Raw genomic sequence first — 26,543 nt, 5'->3', positions numbered from 1 at the left:
CTGGTGTTTGGTGGTCAGGGCTGGGATTAGGGTGAGACAAGTGAGGTGTTCACCTCGAGCACAGAATTTAAGGGGTGCCAAAAACTCAATAATCAAGTAAACAAAATATTGAATTTTAAAATAAACACAGGCTGTTGTTTGTCTTGCAACACCACGTGAGTATTGTAAAGCGAGAGGTCATTTCCAAAGGCACTGCAGTTTCCAGGCCCCGAGGCCCTCGTGTGCCCTGCAGAGCTGCTTTATGAGGGTTGACGGGGACATGTGAACAGATCGACCAATGTGGGGCTTTATATATAATGTTTTAAAAAATATTTTTAAGGCCTGTAATCCCAGCACTTTGGGAGGCCGAGGCAGGCGGATCACGAGGTCAGGAGATTGAGACCATCCTGGCTAACACGGTGAAACCCCGTCTCTATTAAAAATACAAAAAAATTAGCTGGGTGTGGTGGCGGGCGCCTGTAGTCCCAGCTACTCGGGAGGCTGAGGCAGGAGAATGGCGTGAACCTGCGAGGTGGAGCTTGCAGTGAGCCAAGATTGCGCCACTGCACTCCAGCCTGGGCGACAGAGCGAGACTCCATCTCAAAAAAAAAAAAAAAATGTTTAAAGCTTTATTAGTTTTTTCTACTTGGTTCAAAATATGGGGGGCTATTTTGGTGTTTTAGGGGTGCACACTTGTCCTTCCGTGTCAGGATCCAACCTGGCTCCGTGCAGTGCAGTTGCTGGCCCTGGGCTGGCCCATCCGCATCCTGCAGGTTCGGCCTGCGGAAGTCACGGCAGCACAGCCTTCCCCGTGCCGCCCTGCGCTGTCCACTTTCACAGGGCCAGCCGGGGTGTGTGTGAAAGGCTCAGGAATCAGGGGTTGTGTCTCCATAGAGGACCGCATGAGGTCAGTTGGCAGCTCTGGATGAGCTGTGAGGATTGGAGAGTAGTACCGAGTCAGTGTCAGTGCCCTCATTTTGAAAGTGGAACCGTGATTATGCCAGAAAACGTTCTTGTCTTTAGGAAAGACACTTTGAAGGAGTAGGGGGCTTGAGGTGGGCACCTTACTCTCAAACAATTACAGGGGGAAAGTGTGTATGCGAGCACAGGTGTGTGTGCGTAGAGAAAGGAGAATATGAGGAAGCAAATGGGATACAATGGTAACAAGTGGGGAGCCTGGGTGAAGGCTATACAGGGGTTCTTTGTGCTCTTCCCACAACTTTTCTGTGGGTCCGCAATTAACTCAGTATCTAAAGTTTTAAAAACAGAGCCAGAGGTTGCTGAGGGCTGGCTGCAGGGGCTCATGAAGTTCTCTACCCTAGACCTCCTCCACCGCCTTCTTAGTCCTTCAGGTGTCAGCCCCATTGTCTCCTCCTTAAAGAGGCCCTCCCTGTCACCTTGTCTAGTGTAGCACCGCCCTCTCCTCACCTTTCACAGTCACTCAGTTTTGTTTTCTTTGTCGCCCTCACCGTCCTGGGAAATTATCTCATTAATTTGCTTAGCGTTTTTGTCCTGCATCCCCTGTCTGCAAATGTCGGCTCCATGAGACTCTGTCTTGGTCACTCCTGCCCCTCTGCCCCCTGTGCCTGGCACACAGTAGGTTCTCAAGCAATATCTGTGAACGAGGGAAAGGTTAGATGATCACCGTTCTAAAGGTCAGAAAACCTGGAGTCTTGTCCTTTCTGATTATCCCCCATGGGCTTGCCGGGAGACCTGGGACACTGTCTTGCCCCACTGTGGACCTCGGTTTCCTCATCTGTACCCAGCCCTATAGCTTTTGGATTCCATGTTGCAGAAAGCCCCAAGGTTCTGCAGAGGCCGAGTCCCCCAGCTGAGCCCCTCCCTGCTGTAGGCAGGGGCAGGCAGGGGCCCTTGTCTACCAGCTGGGGTGGACCTGTCCCTGCCCCCAGGCTTGTCACCACCATTCCCTGATAGAGGAGAAGTATGTGGCAGAGAGAATGTGCTGTGTGGCCCTTACCTGTAGGCCAGTGCTCCCAGAAAGGTGGGTCCAGGTAAGAGTGAGTTCACTTCTGTCCCTGGGCTTCTTTGTAACAAAAACGGGGCAGTTTTTAAGCCCAGCATCTTTGGCAGGAAACAGTATCTGTGTGAAACTCGGTAACATTGTCTTGTTTTCATGGTAACCTTCTACTTACAGCAGATGATCCTAGTTTTCCATTTAAAGGAGTGATATAAAGTTTCCTTTTAAAATAAATGTATTCAGGGCTGAAATCCAACCAACGTATTATTTTGTGCATTGCTTTTAGCTTCTTATTGTTGAAAGTGTGAAACATGCGTGGAAGTGGAGATAGCTGCTTGGTGAAGGTGAACCTCGGAGTTGTAAGGCGAATCCCACGCCTGCGTGGCACAGCTTTGCGCCTCATGCTTGAGTTTCTTCCACCCACTCCATGCTGTTTTTCATGTTCAGCTCTCCCAAAGGGTCTCCAAAAATGTCTTTTTACAGCTGGTTTGTTCAAATCAGGGCCCTAACAAGACCCACACAGTGCACGTGTCTCGTAAGCATCCTTTTACCTAGAGGCTCCCCTTCCTTTTTCATCCTTGCAGTACTCATTGAAGGAACAGGGCCATTTGCCTGTGGCATGTCCCACATTCAGGATTAGGCTGATTGCCTCATGATGTCATTTAAGCTATTCCTCTGTCACCTGTAGTTCCTGTTAACTGGGAGTTAGATCAGGAAGCTTGATTAGACTCAGGTCCAATTTTTTAAGCCAGTTGATTTTAAAAGAAAATATTTAATAAATAACTAGAATGGCCCATAAAGAGAGTGCACCATAAAGGTGGGGCGAAGCTGAGCGTGGTGGCTCATGCCTATAATCCAGGTACTTTGGGAGGCCAAGGCAGGAGGATCACTTGAGACCAGGAGGAGTTCGAGACCAGCCTGGCGGATATGGCAAAACTCCATCTCTATTAAAAATACAAAAATAGCTACGTGTGGTGGTGCATGCCCGTAATCCCAGCTACTCAGGAGGCTGAGGCATGAGAATCGCTTGAACCTGGCAGGTGGAGGTTGCAGTGAGCAGAGATTGCACCACTGCACTCCAACTTGGGTGACAGAGTTAGACTGTATAAAAAAAAGATTTTAGACAGAGCATGATGGCTCACGCCTGTAATCCTAACACTTCCGGAAGCTGAGATGGGAAGATTACTTGAGGCCAGGAGTTCAAGACCAGTCTGGTTAATGTAGCGAGACCTCATCTCAAAATAAATAAATAAATAAAGGTGGGACGAGGGTGGAGCTGGGAATGGTCTGGGAATGGAGGAAAGCCATGGAGCAGGTTCAGGCAGCAGACTTACCTCTACAGGTCTGGGTATTGGGAAACAGCCCAGAGGCAGCAGATGACAAGGAAAGGAGGCAGGGAGGCCAGTGAGGAGGTGAGGACCCAGCCCAGGGTGCTGCAGTCCTTACCAGTCCTCACCAGTCCTCTTTGAAGGGGATTTGTGTGGACACGTGCACGCATGCACGCACACACACATCTCACACCGCATGTGCGCACACACACTCACGCTCACGCACAAGGGGAGGGTTCCTGTTTGGCCCCCCTTGACCTGGACGGCAAGACCCAGGGAGTCAGGATACAGGGGCTAAAGAATTGAGGCCTCTCAGCACAACAAAATGGAGATTGAAGGGAGCAGCTTTCTTCTTTGTCTAAGGAAGGGGGTAGTGAATAGGCACAGCCTGCAACAAAAAGGATTTAGGTTAGACATTGAGAAAGACTTCCAAGCCAGCCGAGGAGAGCCGTGTTATGTAGCGGTTATGAAGCATGTCTCAGAACAAAGCTGCTTCAGTTCAATTCCCCACCCTGCCATGTTCTATCTGTATTAACCCTGGGCGTGTCTGTGGACCTCTCTCTGCCTTCCTTTCTTTATCCTATAGATCAGATAGTAATAGCACCTACCTCATGGGATGAGCCTAAGCATTAAATGAATTAGTCACACATAGAGCAGTGGCTACAGGAACCATTCAGTAGCCCTTAGGTATCACCGTTCTTGTTGTGTTGATGGAGAGCTGTGTCACCCTGGAAGTTTTAAAGACGGCCATAGCCAGAAACTTTCAAGGCTAGAGGCTTAGAAGGGCAGTTGCTATATATTCGTGATCTTCTATATAGCTTTACACAGTACAGTCACACAGCGTTAGCTCCTTCCATTTGTTTCATCTTCACAACCCCTGGAGATAGATCCTATTTTTCTCCCCATGTTGTGGATGAAGAAACTGAGGTAGGCCAGAAGGTGTGAGGAACGGCTTGTGAGGATCCCTTGGCCAGCGCAGGTCTCAGAATCAGGACTTCTGATCCGGAGTCCCAGATCTGCGGCTTCCTTACTGTGTGACCTCAGGGCAAGTCGCCTCCACCTCTGAGACTCCATTCTCCATCTCCAACACTGAAGAATGAGGCCAGAGCCTCCGGTGCCTATGTTGTCTGATTTCCTTGCATAGAAGATCTGAGCACAAACCCTGATGGTCAAACCCAGTACCATCTGCCCTCCCCATGGCTGAAAGGAAACGTGTCAGAACCCTCAGAAGGGACAACCCATGGGGACTGGCTGTCACTTTGACTGATTGCTAATGTGAGTCCTTCCATCTGGGGTGTCATCTGTCCCATGACCATGCCACCTGCAGAGGCACCCAGTTCTAGGGTCTGGCTCTGCCCTGACCCCGGTTGGGGTCACCTTAGCAAGTTCTTGGAAAAACATCCCCCAAACAGCCTCTACCCAGATGCTCAAGAGCTGCTCAGGATCCTGTTTCTACCCTCCCATGGCATAACTCGATAAGACTGTGCAATTGTCTTTATACTTCCTGCCGGCCTAGCCTGGCCCAGCCTCGGGGGACAGCTGACAAACAGAGGCCAGACGGTGAGCAGTCCCTGGCCCCAGATCCCACCCTGGCAGGTCATGTCCCTTATCTGGGACTCAGTTTTATTTGCAAAATAAGGGCAGAGGGATCAAGTGAGCTACTTGTTCATTCATTCATTCGGCAGGTATTCATTCATTAACTCCCCCTCTGGGCCAAACCCTATGCTTGAGGCGTGAGAAATGGATAAGCAAACCCCCTATTTGTCCTCCTGTCACTTCCAGTCTGGGATTATCAGCCCTGCGGGGCTTTGAGGGGCCACAGGCGTCTCTGGAGCTGAAGCAATCATGGGCAGCTTCCTGGGGGAGGAGGCAGCTAAGTGGACCTTGAAAGACAAGAAGGAGCGGAGGATACAAGAGGTATCCTGTGGGCTAGACACTCACAGATGTATTTTATTTGGCTTGCATAGGATTAACCTACATATCATTGTAAATTTGAATTTATTGCAAACATATAAAAATCAAGAGCTGTTACGTAAAAACCTGGATTTCTGATATCTGAAAAATCAGAGCCCTTATTCCTACAGAGCAGCCATCAGCCAGAGCCAAGCCACAGTTGTTCTGTTTGACCAGTCGGAGTCCCCCCGTTCTGCCTTGCCTCATCATCCCTCCAAACCTGCTCCCACTGGCCATCCCTGTGTCCCTGTCACCGTGGATGGAACCTCCATTTTTCCAGTTGTTCAGGCCAGCAACCCAGGCATCATCTTCCACTCCTCTTTTCTCTCTCACCTCCTCATCTTATTGATCAGACATTTCTACCAGTTCCACTTTGAGAATGTCTCTAGAATCCAACCTCTTGTCCTCACCTTCCTGTCCACCACCCCAGTCCAAGCAACAGTTCCTCCCTGGCCCCTGCCTGGCCATTGCCCCCTTGCGGTCTCTTTTCTGCACAGCAAGTAAAGTGAGGCCCTGCAGGCCAAGTCTGGCAACTTGGACGCTGGCCCTTTGTGCTCCATAAGATGGACTTGCGGAAGCTCTTCTCTGCCTTCTTTCCCAGCTCCTGCCCTGAAGTGAGTGCCCAGCCCCTGCCTGCGCACTGGATATTAGTGGCCATCCTAGGCCCGAGACAAGATGGTGGAACTCAGGATGCCAGCTGCCTGGGAGGCTGGGAGCCCACTACTGTCCTCCAAGACCCAACGCTCTCAGCACCCTGGACTTTCATTTTTCCATTTGGAAAACGGGCATTCCAGCACCCATCCTCAAAAGGCCAATGCTTCTTGAGAAGGGGGATCCAGGGTTTTGAAGTTCGGCCAACTCGGTGTATGTGCCTTCCTGCGCCTTGCATGGCTCTGGGCACCATTGGAAGACTGCAGATATAAATGACAAGTGATTTATTTTGTTTTCAGCCTCCAGAGCTTTAGCTTTAGAGTCAGATAGGCAGAGCTGGGTTTATATATCATCCTGAGTAACTAACCTCAGCATCTGAACCTCAGTTTATTAATTGGTAAAAAAAAAAACAAACAAAAAAAAAAAAAACTGGGGAGATAATAACTGCTACTTCATAGGGTGATTGTGCAAAGAACTAAGCTACATAGATCTCCTCACCTGCTCATGTGAGCTCTCAGAGCAGTGAGGGAGGGATGCAGAGACAGGTCATCCAAGTGCAGGGAAGAAATGGCTGCAGTCCAGGCTCAGGGAACGGAGAGGATGCAGGGCAAAAAAGGATGGACTCCTGGAGAAGGGAAGTGTATCATCCAGAGAAATGATCTAGTTTATACGCCTTCTTCATGGCACAGCCCACTGTGGGAAATCGTTTTCATTTGCTCCCTTGGTACAGAAGGAAGGCCAGCCCCACCAGGCTCCACAGTTTTGTTCACCAAATCCTCAAGTGATATCTGGCACAGAGTAAGCCAATTAATGAATGTTGACTGGGTGAAGGAACAAGCCAATGGAAAATTGGCTTCCTAGAGGAGGTGTCGTCTGAGTTTGAGCCTTGAGCATTGGGTCCTGGTAGGAAACATGGGTCACTACACAAGCTCCCTTGCAGTGTGGCCCGTGATGGGGCTGTGTGCAGGGTGGGATGGGGTTAAGGGAACTGGACACCTGGGCTGGCAGAAGGGGGGAACCCTAACCAGCCCTGGGCCAGAGGGTTGGGGGAGAGAACAGTTTCATGAACCAGAAAGAGAGAGACCTGGGTGCAAACAGCCACCCATCAGGACTGTGGCTGCCGAGGGGCACAGGAAGCGAGGACAGAGCTGAGGCAACGAGTACCCTGACCTATCATTCTCTCCTCCACCTCCTGACCTCCTGCCAGGGCCGCTGCTGGCCACCCCGTCAGGAACCAGGAGGCAGTGGGAGCCTGGGAGCTGCAGTCCCGGGCCCAGAGCAGACTGGGGCATGTGGAGAATAACTGGGCAATATGTGCAGAATTCCTGGCCCAGGGTGGACAGGCCTGGAGATCTGGGAGGGCTCAGGGGTGTTGTGATGGAGTGGGGGCCACTTGGGGGTGTCAGGAAGCTCAATGCAGAGAGAAGATGGCAAAGGGCCTTGCCCACCCCACCCTGGTCTCCTGTGGGTGACGGTCAGCATGGGAGAGTGGGTGGAATAGGAGAGGCTGCACGGACCCCCAGTGAGTAAGGAGAGGTCTCATACTGTCACCTGCAGTTCCCCAGGCGGGAGTCGAGTATAGTGTGCCCATTTTGTGGATGAGAGATGTGGAACAGTGGCTTGCCCCTTAAGCCAGAGGCAGAAATTAGAGGGTCTCAAGGCCCTAAGACCACAGGCAGACACATCTCAACAGGCGAGGAGAGGGCACACATTCAGCAAGGCCTAGAGGCCAGACAGAGGCTCACTGACCCTCACTAAGCTTCCAGAGTAGGGGGCACCCCTTCCAGTCCTCATTTCCCCAAGCAGGGTCCCCTTCAACACTGTCCCTCCACTGTGCCTGCTGCCTTCCTCAAGTGCACACAGTCCCTGAGCTGTGCCCTGCCCTCAAAGGCCAAGTTCACAATGGCATCAGCATCTCCCAGGGAACAAATGTGTCCTTCCCTTTGCCTGGGCGGCAGTGACTTCATCCCCAGCGGGCTGTGTGAGTCACTGGACTGAGGTTGGAGGGCGAGCCAGTTCTCTGCAGAGCCCGGCTTTGGCCTTGTGGCTGGGGAGATGGAATGGCTGAGGGGGTGAAGGCTTCCACGCAGACCTGCCCTCGCTTCCCCCACTCTTTCTGGGGCTCCTTGTGTCCTACAGGGCAACTAGCACTGAGCACCTAACACGTGCCCGGCAGTGCCAGGGGCTTTTTAGGTGACAGCTGGTATTTACTGAGTGCACTCTCTGTTTCAGAAACCATTATGAACTCTCACTTCAAGAACTGGCCATGCTGTCCTGCAGACAGTGATGTTGAGAGGTTAAGTCTTATACCCAGGGTCACACAGTTGTGGTATCACTCATTCCTCATCACAGCCTGGAGGGCAGAGATTTTTTATTCCTGTTTTGCAAAGGGACAAACTGAGGCTCTGCAAGAGGAAGTAGCTTGTGTAGGGACAAAGGAGTCAAAGATGAGTAAGGAGTGCCCTGTTCTCAAGGATGAGCCCCCGAGGATGGCAAAGACAGATAGAGTGTGACATGTCCCCGATGAGTGGATGGATGGGTGGATGGACAAATGGATGGACAGATGGGTGGATGGGTGGGTGGATGGACAGATGGGGTAGATGGATGGATAGATGGGTGGATGGATGGACGGATGGGTGGATGGATGATGGACGGATGGGTGGATGGATGATGGACAGATGGGTGGATGGATGGATGGGTGGGTGGATGGGTGGATGGATGGATGAATTAAGGCTCATTTGCAATGAATTCAAATTTACAATGATATGCAGACAACGTATGATATGTGGATGGGTGAATGGATGGACAGATGGATGGATGGGTGGATGGATGGACAGATGGGTGGATGAGTGGATGGGTGGGTGGATAAATGGGTGGATGGATGGATGGATGGATGGATGGATGGATGGATGGATGGATGGAGTGATGGATGGGTGTATGTGCGGGTGAGGGAACAGATGGATGGATGGGTGGATGAGGGGATAAATGAATGGATGATAGGAAGGAAGATGATAGATGGATATGTGAATGGATTAATGAATCCATGGATGATTCATTGGAGAGGAAGGTGTGTGGATGTGTGAATATATGAATCAGTGGGTAGAGATAAAGCGGGTAAGCAGAGGCTACTTCCACCCACAAAAGACATTGTGAAAACTTCCCCTACTAGGAGGACAGGCCAGATAAACATTTGAATGGAGGCCTTAGTCTGTGTGGCACAAGGAACCGAGGCCAGTATGAAAAGTGACAGGGAAGTAATGTCCAAGGGAGAGTTTCCTTAGGTCAGTGGGGTTCCATGATGGAATGGGGAAGCTTAAAGAAAAAACAAGGAATGGGGAGCCTTGAAAGGTAGTGAGCTTCACATCATTGGGGGTGTTCAAGAAGAGGCTGGGCAGCCACTCCCGCTGCATGCTGTGGAGGAGCCCCTGTGGCAGGTGGAGGTCTGCTGTGGTGGCTTGTGAAGCCTCCTCTGATGACAGGGAGAAGAATTTGGGTTTCCGAGTCCCCCAGGGAGGCCACAGCCTTTGTAGAAACCTATCTTGTTTTTGGATTAAAAGTTCTTTCCTGGCTCAGGGGATGGAGAAGCCTGCAGCTGCTAATCCTTGATGTGGGAATCAGGCTGGAATCTGAGACAGATTTCCCATTCTGCACAGGCCGGGGGTGGGGCCTGGGGACAGAGCAAGGCTTTGGAGCCCTGGCCCCACCCTCCCTGTTTCTGCAGACAGGTGATGGCCCTCTCTGAGCCTCAGTTTCCCCCGGTGAAATGGAAGCTCTGCTGCCCACTATACATGATGCCCAGGGCCCTGCTGGGTGCCAGGTGCTGGGTGCACCTGCCCTTCTGGGGGACTTCCTGGGGGCTGTAGGTGGGGAAAAGTAGATCTGTGAGTGTTGACCTTGATCCGTGAGTCATTATCCCTGGGGGCCCTGCCTGGGAAGCCCCAGCTGCCTGGCCTGGGCTGGGCCTGGGAGCAGCTGGTGGAGACCAGGGTGGGGGCTCAAGCTGGGGCCTCAGTCTGGAAATGCCCCAGACCCAGCCTGGGCCCAGACCCCAAGGCCTTCAGCTGCTCAGAGGCTCCAGCCCTTCATCCCACCCCACTCCATCCCTACAGAGAGGAGCCAGCTTACACCCTGACTCCAGCGTGGGCTCTTAGAGCCAGACTGCCAAGGTTCAAATCCCACCTCCACCAATTCCTAGGTCTGTGACCTAGGGTAAGTGACTTCCTCTATCTGTGTCTCATGTAAACCAACACTAATCATAAAATCCACTTTCTAAGGGCATTGGGAGAACTGGATGAGTTAGTTCTTGGCCTGAGGAGGGCTTAGGCCAATTCCCAGAGCTCCACAAGCCCACAGTAGCCTGAGGTGAAACTAAGGCCGGAGGGGGCTGACCACGCCCAGCATCAAACAGCAAAGAAGTGGCCCAGCCAGAGCTGGAAACCGTCTCACTCACCAGCTGGAGACCCTTGGAGGGCCAACCACTGTCCAGAGGAGCAGCCCTGATTTTGTCTTTATTTTGCTTTGTGTCAACCCCAGGCTTTCTCTAGGAGTGAGGTGGCAGAGCAGCCCCTTCCTCCACCCTCATCTTGGCCAGCTGGTCGGTGGGCCGGGCTGCAGGCTTTGGGCTGCAGGGCGGGAGTTGGGTTTAAGCCTCTGGGGAAATGGGGAGGATGTGGGCCCGCCCTCGCCTCCCCGCCCGCCTCCCTCTCTCTGAGCTCGCCTCTCCCATCCCAGGCCAGCCTCTGGACGCAGGGCCAGCCCCTGGGCTCCGGCAGCTGAGCTTTTCCTCACCGGCGGACGCCCCTCACCCATCCCGCCCTGAGTGACTCACTGCTCCCCTGGCCTGCAGCCACTGCTGTCTCCTGGCAGGAGGCAGGCGCAAGGTTGTGCAGAAGCCACAGGGTCTAGTGTGTGAGGGCCGCTTGGCCAGGAGGGTCTGGAGCAGCTAGACAGGACCAGGGCACAGAGGCTGGCCGGTGGATAGTGGGGCCTGTGGCTCAGCCCTGCAGTGGCCTGTGGCAGCCAGTGCCTCCTCTTTTCCCTAACTTTGGGGGCTTTTCTTTCTTCTTCCTACCATGAAGAAGGAAGGGACCTGAAAATCCGTGAAGAGAGCCGTTCCCTGGCCAGGAGGAGACTCTGGGTGGTGGGGCAGTGGTGGTGGGCCCCTTGGCCACTCGCTCCTCCACCGAGCCAGGCATGAAGGGGTATGGCAGTGCCGTGTGGAGCCTTATGTGGAAGTACTGCATCTCTGTGAGGACACTCAGGTACCGGGACGCGTGCATGGCTGCTCTGCCTGGCTGTCGACTGTTGGGCCGGATGGTTTGCATGGCTGTACAGGGTCCAGGAAGGAGCTGGGATGGAGGGAGCTGGAGCAACTTTCAGTCTCTGGTGGAGCGGGAGGAGGAGAGTGGAACAATGACCAGGGGGTGTGCTGCGATTGGCTGGGATCCAGAGCACACGTTCGGCTGGGATCCAGAGCACACGTTCAGGAAAGGAACGCCAGGGGCAGGTGCAGCATGTGTTACATAACATGCTGGCACAGGGCACAGCTGTGTGACCCTGGCCCTGCCCCACAGCATCTCTGAGCCTGTTACCCACCAGCGAAATGGGGCTCACACGCGTCCCTTCAGCGCTTGGTGTAGTGATTCCTTCGTGTGACCGTAAACGTCAGTCACTGAGTGGCTGAGGGCTCAGCCCGGACTCAGACACCAGGCTGCCCAGGTTTAATGCTGGCTTTGGCATTGTTAGTGGTGTGAAGCGGCTTCACCTCTAGCCAAAGTTTCCCATCTGCAGATCCTTTTAGGATTGTTTTGAGGATTCAGTGAGGTAATACACACTAAGATCAGGGCCCGGTGCGGTGCCAGCATTCAGTCAGTGTTGGATACGATGACCCTTGCCGTTGAGCTTTCTCCCCAGCTGGACAGCTGTGGGGGGTGGTGGGGGTATCTGGAATGGCGCCTGCATGGTGAGAATGAAAGGGTGGAGCAGAGCTCCTTGGCCCCCTGGGGAGGGGACACCATCTGTGATCGCTGCGGCCTCTGCAGCTGCCAGAAGGAGGGAGACCAGGGCGCAGGAAGCCAGGTCCCTTGTGATCTCAGGCAAGGCTGGGGTCTCCCCATCTGTAAAGGGGAACTACACGGGGCCCGAATTTGTATATGGAAGGGCTTAGGGGCAGCCACCTATTTGGAAGATGTGTTTGTACTTGGATGCCGCCTAAGGGCATATTATTTTATTTAAAGGGGTGGATTTGCAACAGGTAAGGGATTGAAAGATTGTCCCTCTTTCTTTCTGCCCTCACTCTCTGGTGTATAAACTTTATAAGCATTCCTTCCTTCCTTCCTTTTTGCCTTCCTTCTATTTCTCCTTCTTTCCTTGTTTCTTTCCTTTCTTCCTTCCTTCCCAAAATACTTGTGACAGCTTACAGAAAATACCTGCAACAAAATAGTTAATAAAAAACATCAGAAGCCAGGCATGGTGGTGCATGTCTCTAGTCCCAGCTACTCGGAAGGCTGAGGCAGGAGGAATGCTTGAGCCCAGTTCAAGGGTAGTGTGTGATGATCATGCCTGTGAATAGCCACTGCACTCCAGCCTGAGCAACACAGTAAGACCTCATCTCTAAAAAAAAGAATCAGGAGTGGAAAAAGCACAATTTAGAATAGGATGTCATGAGCTAGGGTAGAAAAATAGAACAGAACAGAGATATACAGGGTCCTGAGGTTCTTCTGTTGGGGTAAAAATTGCCAAGTTTCCTGGCAGCCAAAGGGAAAGGGGAAACCCAGCCACACAGTTTACTCTCACTGTAATAAGAAACCATAATTACAGTGGCCATAGTTGTCTCTGCTGCTGGGTGAGAGTGCCTGGGGCCCTGGGCCTCAGCCTCAATGGCGGGTCTTGGGCCTGGGCAGGTTTGAGGGAGCAGGGCAGACAGTGAGGGCTAAAGTGTTCTCTTGGGATGAGGATGCCGGCTGGCTGTGGGAAAGGAGAGAGGCAGAGCTCAGCCCTGGAGTGAGTCAGCGGCTGCCTGCCCCTGCCCCTGCCCCTGCCCCAGACCCCGGGATAGACCTCCTGGGTGGGTGACTTGGGAGCTGGGCCAGGCAGCGGGTGAGTCCTGGACTTTGGTGAGCTCTCCGTGTGCTTTTCCTTGTGACCACAGCTGGATTTTCCTGAGTCCCCTTCTGTCCCAAGGTTTCCAGGTATTGGCACTTTGGAAACCTCAGGGCTTGTTGACAGAATGCAGAGGGCTCGGCACTGGGAGGCCCGCTGTGCCCTGTCCAAGGGTGATTCGCTCGCTCCCTCTTGGCTGCCGTTTGCCCACATGGTCTGTAGGAGAAGCAGCACCGCCTCACAGAGCCTGGCAGACTGGCCTCTCTGTGCCTCAGTCTCCTCATTGAATGGCACGGCCACCTGACGGGGCTGTGGGGCGGGGCCTTACGGGAGGCTTTGTGGCTGTCAAGTGGTGATAGACAGGTAGCTTCACAGGGGTGTCACGAGCACTGGCGGGTGGCCTCCTCACCACCAATGAGAGGAGAGTGGTGGGGTGGGTGTGGGCACCATAATTGGCACTGGGTTTGTCCCAAACCCACTCTTAGCACCCATAACTGCCAGGCGCCCCTGTGGTTAACTGGGGAGGATGGGCCTTGGGCTCCAAGAGAAGCACTCTGCCCTCCCGACCCCTACCCCATTCTGTTGAGAGCCCCTGAAAGGACTAAGGCCACGCCCCAACCAGCCAGCCAGCCAGGAGCAGGCCCTCTGCGGATCCCAGCCCCCTCGGCTGCCAGGGAAGCCCTGAGTCAGCAGGTCTGTGGCCCAAGGCGGAGCTGCCGGCGGCCACAGGGACAGATTGGAGGGTTGCGATCGGACAGCGCATAGTTTTCCACTTGCGTCTTCAGATTCCCCTCCGAGTGAGCCTGTTGCCCCTGGCTGGGTCCCATTCACATCTGGAAAAGCGAGAGGTGTGTGTGGAGCAGCTGTGCGCCTGCCAGCCCTGGCCCTCTGCCCAGGGGTTTGGCGACCGCAGTCAAGGAGCCGGGAGAAGGGTCTCTGGAACTTTGGCCCGAGGACTCTGAGAGGGACGATCCTGGCTGCAGGCTGTATCCTGGACAGAACAGCTTGGGAGCTGGGCACCCCAGGGTTTAGAGCCCACAACGGTAGGTTGTGAGATGTGCAGCCCTCGGGCAAGTTGCTAAACCTCTCTGGGCTTGTTTCCTCGCCTGTAGAGTTGGGGGGGAGCCATGCCAGCTGGGCGGGCTTCTTGGCAGGTCATCACTGGGTTCTGTTGGCTTGGCATCCAGCAGGGTGCATGGCTGTGGCACCCCCTCCTTGTCCTCTGAGTCTCAGCGTGGGGGCTTAGGGGGATAACGTGATGAAGTGGGAAGCACACAGGCTCAGAAATCAGGCTGACCTGAGTTCAAAACTGGGCTCAGCCCCTTCCTACCGTGGACGTGACTCTTAGAGACGTTCTGAAGCTTCCATGAGACAATGCCTGTAAGCTTCCCCCAGCTGCAGTAGGTGCTGCTGAGGCATTGGCTGTTTGTATAACAGGCAGCCTCCCTGAGCCCCTGTTTCCCCGCCTGTGAGATGCGTGTGGGGATACAGTAGTTCTGGAGGGTGGATGAGACCCTTTAACCAGCTCCCCGCCCCTCCCCTCCCTGCGTCTTCCCTGGCTGGCCTTTCTCTGGGCACTCACCTCTGGGCCCCTGGCAGACAAAGGCCTTGCTCTGGGTACAGGGCAGTGCCCTGATAAATCCACAGCCCCTCTCAGGTCAGGCAGGAAGATCACTTTTGCATCTGGCATTATATTGAAAAAGAAAGATCGTTTTGTGCCTTGAGAGCCAATGGGGCGTTTGAGCCTCTTCGTGGGCCAGGGCAGCTCACTTGGAACACATGGGGCCCAGGGTGCTGGTTGATAAGGAGTGGGGTGGCCTTGGCTGCCCTGGCCCTGCCCCCCTCTGCCTTCCCACCGTGGCTGCATCTGGGCAGGAGGGCCGTGAACAGCTCAGCTGGCAGCCAGCCTTTGAGAGCTTCCAGGGAGCTTCCTGGACAATTAGCCATCTGATGCCCCTCTGCAGGAGGGCCAGTGGGCGTTCCTCTTGGGACAGAGTGCTCACCACCTCCCAGCCTGGGCCATGCCTAGGCAGCTCTGACGCGAGGACATTTGTTCCCACTTGGAACTGGCACCATCCTTCCTGCGGTGCTCGCTGCCACCCACCCACACACTGAAGTGGCCTGGCCCTGTCCTCTGAGCCTCACAACCCATCTGCTCCCCAGCTCTGGACAGCCTGCAGAGACCAGGACTCCCTGAGGCTGAGGAAGGGGTCACCAGCCTCCTCCCCACCCACGCCTTCTGGACACACCCTGGCTCGTGCTGTCTATCTCCGGGAAGAGCCCAGAGCTGAGTTTGGGATGGGCAGGAGGTCCTGGGCAGAGCAGAGCAGAGCCGCCACTTCTCTGGCTCTGGGCACTGCCTGGAGCACACATAAATTCCCTTATGGCTGCTTTCCCCTTTCACCCGTGGGCCTCACCATTGCCTCAGCCCTGCCAGCCTCACCTCCCTCTCCTCGGTTCCCATCTCTGCTAGTGACTGCCGCCCCCTCTCCCTGCATCGAGTCTTCGTTCAGGGGATGAAGACCTACTCTGTGCCTGACACTGTGCCAGGTGCTAACTATCCATTCCCACATCCAGCCAGCTAGCGCCCACCCTGTGAGGAGCACTGTCCCACAGCACAGAGGAGGACCTGAGTCCAAGGCTTTGCGTTACTGGTTTCCTCACCGGAGTTGTGGGTGAGGCTCTTCTTGGCAAGCACCACAGGGCAGCACTTGTCGCCGAGAGCTCAGAGCCCAGCAGCAAGGCGGCATGGGCATGAGCCACTCTGACACATGGGAAGAGGCTTTCTTCCGCTGATCAGCAAGTAGTTTGCTGAGCACCTATTGTTTGCTGCCCCGGGCTAGACCCTGGGGATACAGCAGTGAGTGAGGTGGACACTCAGGCCTCCTGGAGCAGATAGATGTTCAGGTGAGAGAGAAATGATAAAGAGAAAATAAACAAATGAAGATGCCTTCAGGCAAAGATCGGTGCCAAGAAAATAAAACAGGGAGGGATGACAGAGTGATCGGGGAGAGGGAGCCACATGGCCTGGGGAGGTCAAGAAGGGCCTCTCCCAGTGGCCGTCAGTGGATGAATAGATAAACACAATGTGGTCTGTCCATAGTGTGGAATATTATTCAGCCACAAAAAGAAATGAAGTTCTGGCACGTGTTACAGCACAGGTGAACCTTGAGGACATCATGCTAAGTGAAAGAAGCCAGACGGAAGACCACAGAGCGTATGGTCCCGTTTCTAGGAAATGTCCAGAACAGGCAAATCTATAGAGACGGGAGGTAGGTTTGCCGTGATCCAGGGCTGGGGAGGGGTTCTTTTTGAGTGATGAAAATATGCTAAACATAGATAGTGGTGACAGTTGCACCCCTCTGGGAATATACTATTAATAAAATCATTGAACTATACATTTTAAATGGGTGAGTTGTATGGTGTGTGAATTATATCTTAATAAGACTGTTTGAAAAGAAAACAAAGACTCGTCTGCAGTGGTGGCCTTGCGTTGAGAGTGACAGGGTGGAGTGAGTTTGTGAGGACCTTGGGGAAGAGCAGGCAGAGAGAGCAGCTGGTGTAAGGACCCTGAGGTCTGTGTGCACCTGCAGGAGGAGCACAGAGGAGGAGGCTGGCAGGAGTCGAGAGGGCGGGAGGAGCAGTCCCCGTGGTGGCAGGGCCAGATCCTGGAGAGGGCTTGAAAGTTGACTGGGGCGGGAGAGCCACGGCTGGGTAACATTGCTGTGCTTTCTGTTTTAAAACCGTCACCCGGGCTGCTGTGAGGAAATGAGACTGTGGAGAGGGAGTGGTGGGGCGTTGGGGGCAGGGAAGGCCGGTTGAGATGTGGCGGCCGGCCACTGTTTAGATGAGAGATGACAATTGAGACCCAAAGAAGGAGACAGACAGACTGGCTGGCGGTTGCAGTGGGAATTCAGACAGGGACAGAGCACTCCTGGCGGAGAGGAGGCTTCCTGGAGGAGGGGCCTGGGCCCGGACACTGGCAATGTCAGGATGGGCTGGTGGCGGCTCTCCAGATGGCACCCCTGTGGGGGATGTGGGGGGCCCTGCCTGGCCATGGGGAGACGAGACTGGCCACCCTACCCTGGCACCACCCCTGGGTCCCCTTTGGGCCCAAGCTGCTAAGTAAGTAGGGCACCCTCTCTCCAGGGACCCCTGTCACACTACTTTATGCTGCTGGCTCCAGCTGGCCCTCCGTGACAGTGCAGTGCCCATGTGGCCAGAGACCCAGAAGGGGCCCGGCACTCTGAACAAAGCAGTCTGCCTGGAACTTAAGTGGCCCTGAAACACGATCAGGCACCAGAGACTGTCCAGGGAGGTGGGTGTATTATTTATTGACTGGGGCCTGCCCAGTGAAGCCATTTGGGTTTGCCAGACCTGGAAGGAGCCCCCTCAGCAGTGCCTGGGGGCCTTTTGGAGGGCAGGTGGGCGGGGGCCCCAGGGTGCCTGGCACCCTCTCCCCTGGGTGTGGTTTCCTGGATGCCGACTGAGCAGGGAGGAAGTCAGACGTCAGGACCTGCTGTGGGGATGGACCCACAGCTCATCCCCCGGGGCCGCAGAGGCAGGCCAGGCACTGGGGTTCCAGGGACACCTCCGCCCCCTCCACTTTGAGACTGTGAGTACCACCCACCTGGCCCGGGGAGGGGACCTCAGCAGCCCTGAGAAACCTGTGAGGGGCTGGCGACTGTCAGGGCAGCCTGCCGTGGTGAGGGTCTTGGGGGCTGTCGTCAGAGTTTTCACTGTTTCTCAGAGCTGTATTCTGTGACCCGTTTCTCACTGCCTGGAATGCACACAGGCTCGCCCTGGGCCCAGGAACACCAGGTGTTTCCCCACAGCCGCAAGGGGAAGTTCTTTAGCTCCCCTGCGCGTTAGACCAGCCCCAGGCCCCATTAGGGTTGAGAACCAGGGCCCCGCAGCCCACCTGGATGGCAGGGAGTGTTGGGTCGCTGCCTACGGCCCTCACAACCACCCTGAGAAAGATGGACTCTTGACAATGCCCAGTTTACAGCCGAGTAAACTGAGGCCCTCAGAAGTCACACAGAAGTCAGAAGTCCTCAGAGGCCCTCAGAAGTCACACAGTGGCCCAGGGCTCCTGGAGCATATTTGGTGTGTTTCCTTCCCACACTGCTGCCCCCCTCAACCCTATGGTGCATAAACTTTGAGCAAATGGAGGTTTATGGCTGAGGGAACACAAGGCTTCCCCAGGCTGTGTTGAGGAGACACTGCCTTGCAGAAGTCTTCCCTGCCCCAGGCTCGCTGGGGCCATTTCCCATCTGGCAGTAGCCCAGTATGTGTCCCCCCAGGAGCCCCTTGACCCACTGACAAGTTCAGTATCTTTCTGAAATGATCCAGAGTGGAACCTTGAGGATCTGTAGATCCCTGGGGCTGGGAGCGTGTTGGGGGATGTTCCCTGGGTTCTGAGCTGTAACCCCTGAGCCTGACCTCTTGGGGTCCTTGGGCCAACAGCCCCTGGCTCACTGGGGTCATCAGGGAGTTCAACAGATGGGTCAGAGGAAGCTTTTACCGACCCAGCCTCAGGGAGCAGCCTGGGAGCTCTCACTCCCAGCCAAGCCTCCCCCACCCCAGCCCTGGCTCTTGGGGGCAGGCAAGACAGATAGCCCTTTCCTTAGGACTGGAGCCCAACCAGTGGCAGATGGAAAAAGTGAGGCCCAGTGATAAGGAAGCAATGGGCACCTTCACCCCTGCCCCCACGCTGCAGACAGAAGGCTGCTCAGTGCCCTGAGGGGTCAGTCACTCTGTCTCAAATCCCAGCTCCCCAGTGTGCCCCAGCCATGTGACATGGGACAGATGTCCCAACATCTCTGGGCCTGGGTTTCCATATAACCCATAGCGAAAGTCCTCCCTTCCGGGGTTGTTGTGAGGCTTAGATGGTGAAGCAGGCCTCTGTGGGGAATCTCCCTGTGGGCGTAGGTGACTCTGGGTTCCCATCTCACTGAGAGATTTACCAGGGCACAGTGCCCCTCAGGCTGGTTAGGGGAGGCTTGATGACCCCAGTGAGCCAGGGGCTGTTGGCCCAAGGACCCCAAGAGGTCAGGTTCAGGGGTTACAGCTCAGAGCCCAGGGCTCTGGCCTCCAGCTCAGCTACCTCCAGCAGCAACCTGCCTTTGTTGGGCGCCAGGGCTCAAGCTGGGGAGCCTGGCCAGGTGGCTGCCCACACCTGTGTTCAAGGCCCATTTCGGTCCAGCCCAGCAGAGGCACAGAGCAGATCAGAGCCCCTGCTGCCTGCCTGGGGACTTCAGGGGAGCCCATCCTGAGGCCTCATGTCCTCACCTGTGAAATGGCCAGGTGTAACCAGGAGCCTTTAAGCACTCCATGACTCTGTGCAGAGTTTCATGCACATCATTCATTTGTTAATTCAGTCATTCAACAAACATTTATTGGGCACCTACTGTGTGCCAAGTACTGTCTTGTCTCTGAGAGTACAAAGGTGATAAATCAGATAAACCATCCCTTCCCTTCTTGGTGTTGGGGAGTCAAGCAATATATGACTAACGCAATGCATGCATGATAGGTCATGGGGATGACATGTTCTGTGAAGGAGAGTAGGGCAGAGGAAGGAGATGGGCGCAAGGAGGGGTAAGCGGTTGGTTGTATTTTATTTTAATGGACACATGTCACCTATTAGAAAACACCTGTAGGCCATCAGGCAGCTGAGGGCAGGTTGGAGGGTCCACACTGTGGCCTTCATTCCCTGAGTCCCTTGTGGGCTAGGCCAGTGTGAGCTGTCCTCTGACCTGCATGCAAGGGTGAGCTCATTAGCCCCATCTGATGGACTTGCAAACCAATGCCCAAAAATCCCAACCAGTGTAACTCCAGTGGCTTCTGGGAAAGAGGTGAGGGGACTCCGCCGGCAGAGTGGGTATCTGGACTGTACTCAGCGTGTGGGAGCATTGAAGTGGCTATCAGCCGGGCCTGGGGTGTGGTCAGGCTGTGGTTAAGAGCCCAGACCTTGGGAGGCCAAGGCGGGCGGATCACTTGAGGTCAGGAGATCGAGACCAGCCTGACCAATATGGTGAAACCCCATCTCTACTAAAAATACAAAAATTAGCCGGGCGTGGTGGCGCATGCCGGTAATCCCAGCTACTTGGGAGGCTGAGGCAGGAGAATCGCTTGAACCTGGGAGGCAGAGGTTGCAGTGAGCCTAGGTCGTGCCACTGCACTCCAGCCTTGGACACAGAGCAAGACTGTCTCAAAAAAAAAAAAAAAAGCCCAGACTTTCATGGGAGTTTCTGTTCCACTGCTTTCGTAGCTATGTGACCTTGGGTGTGTTGGGTCCCATCTCTGAGCTTCACTTGGTCAGTGAGGGCTGTCTTAGTAGCAAGTGACAGAAAATCCAAACCTAACGGGCATAAGCAGAAAAGGGGTTTCATTGCCTCCTGGAACTGAAAAGTCTGGAGGGTAACTAGCTTCGGGAATGGCGGAATCGCAGTGTTCATATATGGATTTGGACTTTTCAACTCTTACCTCTGCTTTCCTTCCTACTGTCTTCACTGTGAGGCAGGCCCTCTCCATGTGGGCATCCCTGGCTCTGTGCCCGGCATGTAGCAAGTGCTCAGAAAACATTAGGCATTTCCTTTCATTCGGTCGTCACCAGCCCTGTGACAGGCCAGCTGTAGGGCCCAGGCTGTGGTGAGCAACACATCGTTTCTGTCTTGGGGATGTTCACAGTGCTCTGTGGGAGAAGGGACTAGAAAAGAGGAAATGACTACACATGGCACTCAGGGCTGAGAAGGGGGTGAGCTCTGAGGCCTGTGGGAGCCCAGAGGAGGGACACTGGAGTTTTTATCTGGAGGAGTTCCCCAAAGGCTTCCTGGAGGAGGTGGCAGATGAGCTAGATTTTAGGAGCAATGGAGGAGGTAGCCTGGCAAATGGCAACTGAGGGAGCAGGGGCCTAGGGTCGGGTTCAGGACTCATACACAGTGGAGCTGACCTGGCTGTGCTAGGTTCTTGGAAGTCCTGGCTGAACTCAGAGAACTGGTTCTTGGGCCATGCCGGGGGTGCAGGCAAGTAAGCCTGCATGTGGGTGAAAGGTAGCCCCAGCAGCAAGGCTGTAAGGAAAAGAGGGAATGAGCACTTAGTGTACACCTACCGTGTGCCACACCCCCTCCATATGTTGCCTCATTCTGGCCACTCCGCAGCCTCTGGTGGTGCCTCATGCCCACTTTGCAGAGGATGAGCCACAGGTTCTGATCAGGTGCTGGAACAAACCACCCTTCTTAAGTGAGTCCCCCACGAACTTAGAATTTGAGACTCACTCATTGGCCAGGCTCAATGGCCTCTGTTCTGCTATCAAGAGGCTGCTGGGATGTTACCCATGGCAGGGATAGATGGGGAAGTCACCATATTCAAAACAATCATGTGTTGAAACACCTCCCCAGCTTCTGATCTACCGGTAGTGGCAGCGGAAGCAAATACAGCAAATCTGAAACCCGATGCCTACAGAACAGGGGTGTGAAATGTGACGCCAGAGGCCCCCACACAGAAGTGGGTGTGGACAGCCACCTGCCTGTGAGCAACCAGGGGAAGCTAGCTTGGTGCCGAGTTTACACAGTGAATGTTAAAAAGACTTCGAAGCTGGCCCCAGTGTATTCGCACACAGTTGAGAAAGGCCAGGGAGGATAACAAGGGCTAGAATATAGGGTCAGCTCCCTACAGTTGCTGTAACCCCCTGGGCAGCTCCCTTTACTTCTCTGAGCTTCAGTGACCTCCTCTGTAAGTGAGGATAACATTTCCCAGAGTGAGGATTAAATAACATTATGCATGGACCTGCCCATAGACAATGACCTAGCAATGGCTCAGTGAGTGTCAGTGATGATTATCCCCAAGTAAAATAAATTTGAATTTAAAATTTTAAAAATGGTCATTTTTGCATCCATTGTCTTGAGCCAAATGGGAAACGGTTTGGTTCAGCCTCTAAGCCCCTGCGGGTAGGCCCTGGGTCTTTCAGCCCTGTGTCTGCTGGTACGCCTGGGGCTCAGGAAATGCACATGGTGTGTTAAAACCAAGTTTGAATTTGTCAAATCCCAAGTCAATCCAGGATGTTCATTTCTTAAATGATACAGTGAGACAAAGTTTTTTTGAAGAGGAAAAAGAAAAAAAAAAGTGAATTTCACTCTGGGGAAATAAGCAGAGTGATGGGAAGCTGGAGGTAGATGCCACTGACACTCAGAGTGGTGGAGGAAGTGTGGGGAGGCTTCCAGGAGGAGGCAAGCTCTAGTGAGCAGGCACTGCTCAAGTGGGGAGTGGAGGAGAGTTTGGGTAGAAACTGTAGGTCGAGTCTTCATGGTGTGTTTGGGAAACAGCAGTCTTGGGTGATACCTGTCTGGGAGGGATGAGGGCCAGAGTTCAGGACAAAAAGGAAGGCAAGTGGGGCCCAGAGCCCAGGGTGCTGGCCTCTCCCTGCAGGCATGAAGGAGCCGCCAGGAGCTTTTGAGCAGGGAGTTTTATTAACCAGTATTTGTTTGGTTGATTAAAAAAAAGAGGCACCCCAGACTGGCTTGACGGGCTTAAGGCAAAGGCTGAATTTATTGCCTTCTGTTTCTGAAACAGACAGGGCTTCAGGTACAGTTGGATTCGGGGGCTCAAACCATGACCCCAGACGCCGGCCTCTTTTTCTCTTTTTCCATCTCTTTGACTTCATTCCCGGACAGCCTTTCTGCCCAGATGGCCCCAACAGCTCCAGGTCGACATTTGTCATATCCAGGCAGAAACTGTTCTGACAGAATCGACTCTCCATGGTTAGCTTAGACCACATACCCATCCCTGGACCAGTCACTTGAGCAGGGGGGATGAACTACTCTCTCTGATAGACCAAGCTCGGTACTGCATTCACCCCTGGAGGTAGCTGACCCAAATTAGATGGACTGAGAATGGAGGATTGGATTCCCCAAAGAAAATTGGGGTGTCTTACCGGAAGTGAGAATGGAGGCTGGTCAGGCAGAAACATCCTGCATCCACCATTGCGACCTGCTAAGACTTGTGGGCTGGTCATTCCGCCACTATGACCTGCTAAGACCTGCCGGCTGGCCAGCTGAGCCATGTGTTCTGCTATGCATCATCCCTTCGGGTCAGCCCCGTGAGGTAGAGTTTGTTATGATCCCTATTTTGCAGATGAGAAAACTGAGGCTTAGGGAGACACAGTCACTTGCCGAAGGTCACACTGTTAGCAAATGTCCTCAAATCCCAAATCAGCTTGACCTGAAGCCCAGAATCTTAACCACATGCTCCACTGCCTTACAGCAATCAGCAAAGAGTTTGAAGAGGATGCCTAGGGAGCTTGGATGGAGGACAGGCTGGCAGAGGAGACTGGAGGCAGAGGATGGGAGTAGGAGGCGGGCGCCACACTGGCAGAGAGGAGGGATCCTAAGACATAGAGCTGTGGTGTGCTAAAGCCCGGCTCTCAACGCACTGTCAGCTTCACTTTTGTTGTTGTTTCCTTATATAGATAAGATATCTGATAAAATATCTAATCAGCAAAGTACATACACACACACACACACACACATATATATATACAAACATACTAATTATTATGCCTACTGGTTTCTGCTTGGGGTGATCTTGGCAGGAGGAGGTGAGGGATGAGGGTCCTGAGCCTGGAAGTTGGAGTTATACTTGGGCTGCGGGCATCTGGGGCATTTCCGGGGGAGTTACCCCAGGAAGTGGTCAAAGGGAGTTGGCCGCCCACCTGGCTCAGGGCCAGGGCGGAGAGCGGGCAGGATGGGGAAACAGCCACTCTGCGCTTCCCTTTTCAGCCCTAAGGCTTCTCAGGCAAGGTCCCGCCTCCCTGATGACATTACACCATGTCAGAAATCAGCCTGCCCACACCCTCATGGCACAAAGGGGAAATCAAGGCAGCAGGCCATTTAGCTTCACCGCCACCACATGGAGAGGTGTGGCAGTCCGGGCACCGGTCCTGGATTGGCTGTCACCGCACTGTGTGACCTAGGGCGAGTCACCAGGCCTCTCTGGGCCTCAGTTTGACATCTGTAAAATAGACCTATGAAGACAGAGCAGGCACATGAACAAACCTTGGCAAATAACCTGACCCAGTGCCAGGCACTTCACAGGCTGTCAGGATTCCTTCCCTGTGTGGTGATCTCTCGGAATCACAGCCTTGGAACCCTGGAGAGGAAAAGGGCTGTCGATCTCAGAAAGCCAGGCCAAGACCCAGCTCTGCAGCATACAAGCCATGTGGCCTTGTGCAAGTCACTTCACTTCTCTGGGCCTCCATTGCCTTATCTGGAAAATGGCTTAATAAGCACCCCCTCATGCATGAATGAGAGGGTTAACTGAAAGCCTAGCCCGTGGGATGGGGTTTGCCAGCGTGTCTGGTTCCCACTGGGTTAGCTGGATATCCCCTCCTCTGTGAGCTCCCCTTTCTGCCCTGGAGCCGGATCAAGAGCGTTGTTCTATCAGTAACTCGACCAACTAATATTGACTGTGTGCCCAGCACCGCTCAAAGCAGTGAGGACACCAGCGTGAGACCCCCTCCCTCACAGAGCTGGCATTTGGGGGTTGGGGGAGGCAGAGAGGTGACAAGTAAACAAACACACAAACGAGCATTTCCAACATCACAGTCAGGAAAATGAAGCAGGAGGCTGCAGTGGGGAGCGACTTGGCGGTGGTCAGTGAGGGCCTCCCTGAGGAGGGGAACTGAGAGCAAGAAGGAGGTGGCTAGCAAAGATGGGGGCCAGCCAGGTGGCAGAGGGAAGAGGAGTATGAACAGCCCCCTGGGGATTCAGGCTCAAAGGACAGAGGGTTTGGAGACTAATGGCAGCACTCTCAGAGAGGACGTCTGGGTTGGACAGTGGACAGCCTGACGGTCACTGGTGGAGGATGCTTACCTCATTCTCTAAACATTTGCTGGAGGGAGGGTCAGCTGAGGCTCACCTCTGAGCTTCGACGCGGGAAGGAGAGGTGTCCAGCTTGGCCTCAGACCCCAGACGGAGGGTGACAAGGTGGTGATGGTAATGGACGGACATAGCCAGGAGAGGCAGCTAGGTTCAGTCCTGAACTTCAGAACTGCCAAGAAGTACCTAAGTAACCCCGTTTCATCTTCAGGTACAGACACTCAGAAGGCCAGGCACCTGGCCCCTCCCTGGGGTTCCTGGGGTGGGCTTATGGAAGGGTAGTTCCTCTGCTCTCTCACCTGGCTTCCTAGAGGAGTGCAGGCTTAGAAGGTCAGAGCTGCAAGGACTTTGAGAAATCACCAAGCTCTCCTCCCACAGGACAGGGGATTCTGTGACCTTGCTCCGGGGAAGGGTGGGCTCCATTGGTAAGCTGGACGTGCTGGGGGCTCTGGACTCTGGGGCGGGGTACGGGTGGGGCCCCAGAGACAGGGAGGGATGGCTGGGCTCAGCCCCAAACTTCCAACAGCCAAGAATTACATTTCATCTGCAAGCACAGAAACCGCAGAGATAGGCAGACCCAGAAGTGAGGAGTGGGTGGCCTGCGGAGGCTTTCAAGCAGCAGCAAAGAAAACGGGATGTTTTTCAAGTGCGAAATGGGTGATAAGCTCTAATGTGTGTAGGAGTATGGTCCCAACTATGATCTCATTCCATTCTCACAATAAATCCTGTCCAACAGGAATATCTGCCCTATCTTGCAGGGGGGGAAACTGAGGCAAGCCAAGTGACTCGCGCAAGTTCCTTGCCAGCCAGAAAGTGGCAGCATCAGAATTGAGACCTAGAACCTAGCTTTCCTTAGAGACACGGAGGGTGGACCGGTGCAGTGGGTGGGGCAGGTAGAGAGCCAGGCTGGCCTCTGCCCTCCTCCCAGGGGCAGCTGGGCCCACAGCTGGCGTCCCCACTACTCAGTTCTCTGGATGTTTAGAACGGCCGACAGGCCAGTTACAGAGCCAGCCCCACCTGCTCTGTCTGGATCCCGCATACCAGCTGGAGACAGAGTCCTTGCTGCAGCTCCCCTGACCCTCTTCCTAGGGGTTCTGTCCCCCGACCCTAAGTGCCTTGGGCTCTGTCTGCATGAAGACACGTGATTCCCTCCCCACAGTCTCATGCAGCCCCTGCCAGCTTCCTCTCCTGCACTCCACCCTTGTGAATTAGGGGCACCCCTACCACTGCAGGGATGGGGGCCAAAAAGACCTGGAGGAGGACAAAGCCTAGCAAAACCGACTTTGGACAAGTGTCTCCTGCTCCTGAATCTGTTTCCTCATCTATAAAATGGGGAGAGAGATACCCGCCGGTAGCAGAGCTTTGTGATTTTGACTGCAAACATGTCAGGAGAGGCCAGGCTGCAGGGGCTCCGCCAGTCAGAGCCCGGCCCAGAGCACAGACCCCAGGCATCTGCCAAAGACGGCCTGTCTCTGGGCTCCACGTGGGTTTCTGCTCTGTTTAAAAGGTAGAGTTCCCCAGCGGCCCATGGACACTTCTCATGCCCCTGCCCCTGGGCCCAGGCAGTGCTTCCGGGTGTGCTGCTGCCTCCTGGGGCCGTGGGTGGGCCCTGAACTGCAACACCAGCTGGCAGTCTCTAGAGTGGGGGCTGTGTGCGCGTGTGTTTCAGTTAGATTTTGC

General features: G+C 54.3%; 1 protein-coding gene and 1 long non-coding RNA gene across 21 annotated transcripts in view, besides 23 other annotated features; one reads left to right on the top strand and one right to left on the bottom strand.

Annotated features, from left to right (window-relative positions):
- The window catches only part of IQSEC1 (IQ motif and Sec7 domain ArfGEF 1), a 386,215-nt gene that overhangs the window by 250,075 nt on the left and 109,597 nt on the right, over nt 1-26,543 (top strand). For 3 of the 20 annotated variants that reach the window (XM_047449341.1, XM_047449353.1, XM_011534306.4), the window contains exon 1: nt 10,609-11,150. The exons of 13 other annotated variants lie outside the window; for them this stretch is intronic. In XM_047449341.1, coding sequence (XP_047305297.1) covers nt 11,083-11,150 — 68 coding nt within the window. In that variant the 5' untranslated portion in view covers nt 10,609-11,082. Of the gene's footprint in view, nt 1-10,608; nt 11,151-13,721; nt 14,034-17,547; nt 17,606-26,543 lie in introns of those variants that run through there. 4 more of the 20 variants (XM_047449349.1, XM_047449360.1, XM_011534311.3 and 1 more) reach the window with 2 other exon arrangements.
- Nucleotides 326-1,324: an enhancer, noted in NCBI's record as "H3K4me1 hESC enhancer chr3:13073359-13074357 (GRCh37/hg19 assembly coordinates)". NCBI's record gives its function as "activates a minimal SCP1, AML or CMV promoter by ChIP-STARR-seq in naive H9 embryonic stem cells {active_cell/tissue: H9 hESC(naive)}" and the evidence as "EXISTENCE:reporter gene assay evidence [ECO:0000049][PMID:30033119]".
- Nucleotides 1,325-2,325: an enhancer, noted in NCBI's record as "H3K4me1 hESC enhancer chr3:13072358-13073358 (GRCh37/hg19 assembly coordinates)". NCBI's record gives its function as "activates a minimal SCP1, AML or CMV promoter by ChIP-STARR-seq in naive H9 embryonic stem cells {active_cell/tissue: H9 hESC(naive)}" and the evidence as "EXISTENCE:reporter gene assay evidence [ECO:0000049][PMID:30033119]".
- Nucleotides 5,369-5,868: an enhancer, noted in NCBI's record as "H3K4me1 hESC enhancer chr3:13068815-13069314 (GRCh37/hg19 assembly coordinates)". NCBI's record gives its function as "activates a minimal SCP1, AML or CMV promoter by ChIP-STARR-seq in primed H9 embryonic stem cells {active_cell/tissue: H9 hESC(primed)}" and the evidence as "EXISTENCE:reporter gene assay evidence [ECO:0000049][PMID:30033119]".
- Nucleotides 5,869-6,370: an enhancer, noted in NCBI's record as "H3K4me1 hESC enhancer chr3:13068313-13068814 (GRCh37/hg19 assembly coordinates)". NCBI's record gives its function as "activates a minimal SCP1, AML or CMV promoter by ChIP-STARR-seq in primed H9 embryonic stem cells {active_cell/tissue: H9 hESC(primed)}" and the evidence as "EXISTENCE:reporter gene assay evidence [ECO:0000049][PMID:30033119]".
- Nucleotides 7,985-8,114: a silencer, noted in NCBI's record as "silent region_14080". NCBI's record gives its function as "represses an Ori minimal core promoter by ATAC-STARR-seq in GM12878 lymphoblastoid cells {active_cell/tissue: GM12878}" and the evidence as "EXISTENCE:reporter gene assay evidence [ECO:0000049][PMID:35858748]".
- Nucleotides 9,737-9,836: an enhancer, noted in NCBI's record as "active region_19474". NCBI's record gives its function as "activates an Ori minimal core promoter by ATAC-STARR-seq in GM12878 lymphoblastoid cells {active_cell/tissue: GM12878}" and the evidence as "EXISTENCE:reporter gene assay evidence [ECO:0000049][PMID:35858748]".
- Nucleotides 10,357-10,416: an enhancer, noted in NCBI's record as "active region_19473". NCBI's record gives its function as "activates an Ori minimal core promoter by ATAC-STARR-seq in GM12878 lymphoblastoid cells {active_cell/tissue: GM12878}" and the evidence as "EXISTENCE:reporter gene assay evidence [ECO:0000049][PMID:35858748]".
- Nucleotides 11,317-11,396: an enhancer, noted in NCBI's record as "active region_19472". NCBI's record gives its function as "activates an Ori minimal core promoter by ATAC-STARR-seq in GM12878 lymphoblastoid cells {active_cell/tissue: GM12878}" and the evidence as "EXISTENCE:reporter gene assay evidence [ECO:0000049][PMID:35858748]".
- Nucleotides 11,647-11,846: an enhancer, noted in NCBI's record as "active region_19471". NCBI's record gives its function as "activates an Ori minimal core promoter by ATAC-STARR-seq in GM12878 lymphoblastoid cells {active_cell/tissue: GM12878}" and the evidence as "EXISTENCE:reporter gene assay evidence [ECO:0000049][PMID:35858748]".
- Nucleotides 13,533-14,330: an enhancer, noted in NCBI's record as "H3K27ac-H3K4me1 hESC enhancer chr3:13060353-13061150 (GRCh37/hg19 assembly coordinates)". NCBI's record gives its function as "activates a minimal SCP1, AML or CMV promoter by ChIP-STARR-seq in primed H9 embryonic stem cells {active_cell/tissue: H9 hESC(primed)}" and the evidence as "EXISTENCE:reporter gene assay evidence [ECO:0000049][PMID:30033119]".
- Nucleotides 14,331-15,128: an enhancer, noted in NCBI's record as "NANOG-H3K27ac-H3K4me1 hESC enhancer chr3:13059555-13060352 (GRCh37/hg19 assembly coordinates)". NCBI's record gives its function as "activates a minimal SCP1, AML or CMV promoter by ChIP-STARR-seq in naive H9 embryonic stem cells {active_cell/tissue: H9 hESC(naive)}" and the evidence as "EXISTENCE:reporter gene assay evidence [ECO:0000049][PMID:30033119]".
- Nucleotides 15,129-15,928: an enhancer, noted in NCBI's record as "NANOG-H3K27ac-H3K4me1 hESC enhancer chr3:13058755-13059554 (GRCh37/hg19 assembly coordinates)". NCBI's record gives its function as "activates a minimal SCP1, AML or CMV promoter by ChIP-STARR-seq in naive H9 embryonic stem cells {active_cell/tissue: H9 hESC(naive)}" and the evidence as "EXISTENCE:reporter gene assay evidence [ECO:0000049][PMID:30033119]".
- Nucleotides 16,390-16,499: an enhancer, noted in NCBI's record as "active region_19470". NCBI's record gives its function as "activates an Ori minimal core promoter by ATAC-STARR-seq in GM12878 lymphoblastoid cells {active_cell/tissue: GM12878}" and the evidence as "EXISTENCE:reporter gene assay evidence [ECO:0000049][PMID:35858748]".
- Nucleotides 16,505-17,272: an enhancer, noted in NCBI's record as "H3K27ac-H3K4me1 hESC enhancer chr3:13057411-13058178 (GRCh37/hg19 assembly coordinates)". NCBI's record gives its function as "activates a minimal SCP1, AML or CMV promoter by ChIP-STARR-seq in naive H9 embryonic stem cells {active_cell/tissue: H9 hESC(naive)}" and the evidence as "EXISTENCE:reporter gene assay evidence [ECO:0000049][PMID:30033119]".
- Nucleotides 17,120-17,219: an enhancer, noted in NCBI's record as "active region_19469". NCBI's record gives its function as "activates an Ori minimal core promoter by ATAC-STARR-seq in GM12878 lymphoblastoid cells {active_cell/tissue: GM12878}" and the evidence as "EXISTENCE:reporter gene assay evidence [ECO:0000049][PMID:35858748]".
- Nucleotides 17,273-18,041: an enhancer, noted in NCBI's record as "H3K27ac-H3K4me1 hESC enhancer chr3:13056642-13057410 (GRCh37/hg19 assembly coordinates)". NCBI's record gives its function as "activates a minimal SCP1, AML or CMV promoter by ChIP-STARR-seq in naive H9 embryonic stem cells {active_cell/tissue: H9 hESC(naive)}" and the evidence as "EXISTENCE:reporter gene assay evidence [ECO:0000049][PMID:30033119]".
- Nucleotides 17,890-17,969: an enhancer, noted in NCBI's record as "active region_19468". NCBI's record gives its function as "activates an Ori minimal core promoter by ATAC-STARR-seq in GM12878 lymphoblastoid cells {active_cell/tissue: GM12878}" and the evidence as "EXISTENCE:reporter gene assay evidence [ECO:0000049][PMID:35858748]".
- Nucleotides 18,299-18,798: an enhancer, noted in NCBI's record as "H3K4me1 hESC enhancer chr3:13055885-13056384 (GRCh37/hg19 assembly coordinates)". NCBI's record gives its function as "activates a minimal SCP1, AML or CMV promoter by ChIP-STARR-seq in naive H9 embryonic stem cells {active_cell/tissue: H9 hESC(naive)}" and the evidence as "EXISTENCE:reporter gene assay evidence [ECO:0000049][PMID:30033119]".
- Nucleotides 18,799-19,300: an enhancer, noted in NCBI's record as "H3K4me1 hESC enhancer chr3:13055383-13055884 (GRCh37/hg19 assembly coordinates)". NCBI's record gives its function as "activates a minimal SCP1, AML or CMV promoter by ChIP-STARR-seq in naive H9 embryonic stem cells {active_cell/tissue: H9 hESC(naive)}" and the evidence as "EXISTENCE:reporter gene assay evidence [ECO:0000049][PMID:30033119]".
- Nucleotides 20,750-20,909: an enhancer, noted in NCBI's record as "active region_19467". NCBI's record gives its function as "activates an Ori minimal core promoter by ATAC-STARR-seq in GM12878 lymphoblastoid cells {active_cell/tissue: GM12878}" and the evidence as "EXISTENCE:reporter gene assay evidence [ECO:0000049][PMID:35858748]".
- On the bottom strand, nt 22,439-23,593 carry LOC124906214 (uncharacterized). Its single transcript, XR_007095821.1, has 2 exons — nt 22,922-23,593; nt 22,439-22,726 (listed from the first exon to the last, which is right to left on the bottom strand). It is a non-coding gene; the product is annotated as an uncharacterized LOC124906214 (long non-coding RNA).
- Nucleotides 23,548-23,617: an enhancer, noted in NCBI's record as "active region_19466". NCBI's record gives its function as "activates an Ori minimal core promoter by ATAC-STARR-seq in GM12878 lymphoblastoid cells {active_cell/tissue: GM12878}" and the evidence as "EXISTENCE:reporter gene assay evidence [ECO:0000049][PMID:35858748]".
- Nucleotides 23,878-23,947: an enhancer, noted in NCBI's record as "active region_19465". NCBI's record gives its function as "activates an Ori minimal core promoter by ATAC-STARR-seq in GM12878 lymphoblastoid cells {active_cell/tissue: GM12878}" and the evidence as "EXISTENCE:reporter gene assay evidence [ECO:0000049][PMID:35858748]".
- Nucleotides 23,988-24,037: an enhancer, noted in NCBI's record as "active region_19464". NCBI's record gives its function as "activates an Ori minimal core promoter by ATAC-STARR-seq in GM12878 lymphoblastoid cells {active_cell/tissue: GM12878}" and the evidence as "EXISTENCE:reporter gene assay evidence [ECO:0000049][PMID:35858748]".

Source organism: Homo sapiens, chromosome 3 (assembly GCF_000001405.40).
Source record: "Homo sapiens chromosome 3, GRCh38.p14 Primary Assembly".
Taxonomy (NCBI): domain Eukaryota; kingdom Metazoa; phylum Chordata; class Mammalia; order Primates; family Hominidae; genus Homo; species Homo sapiens.
Note: the sequence above shows the minus strand (reverse complement) of the source record. Positions and strands in the feature narration are given on the sequence as shown.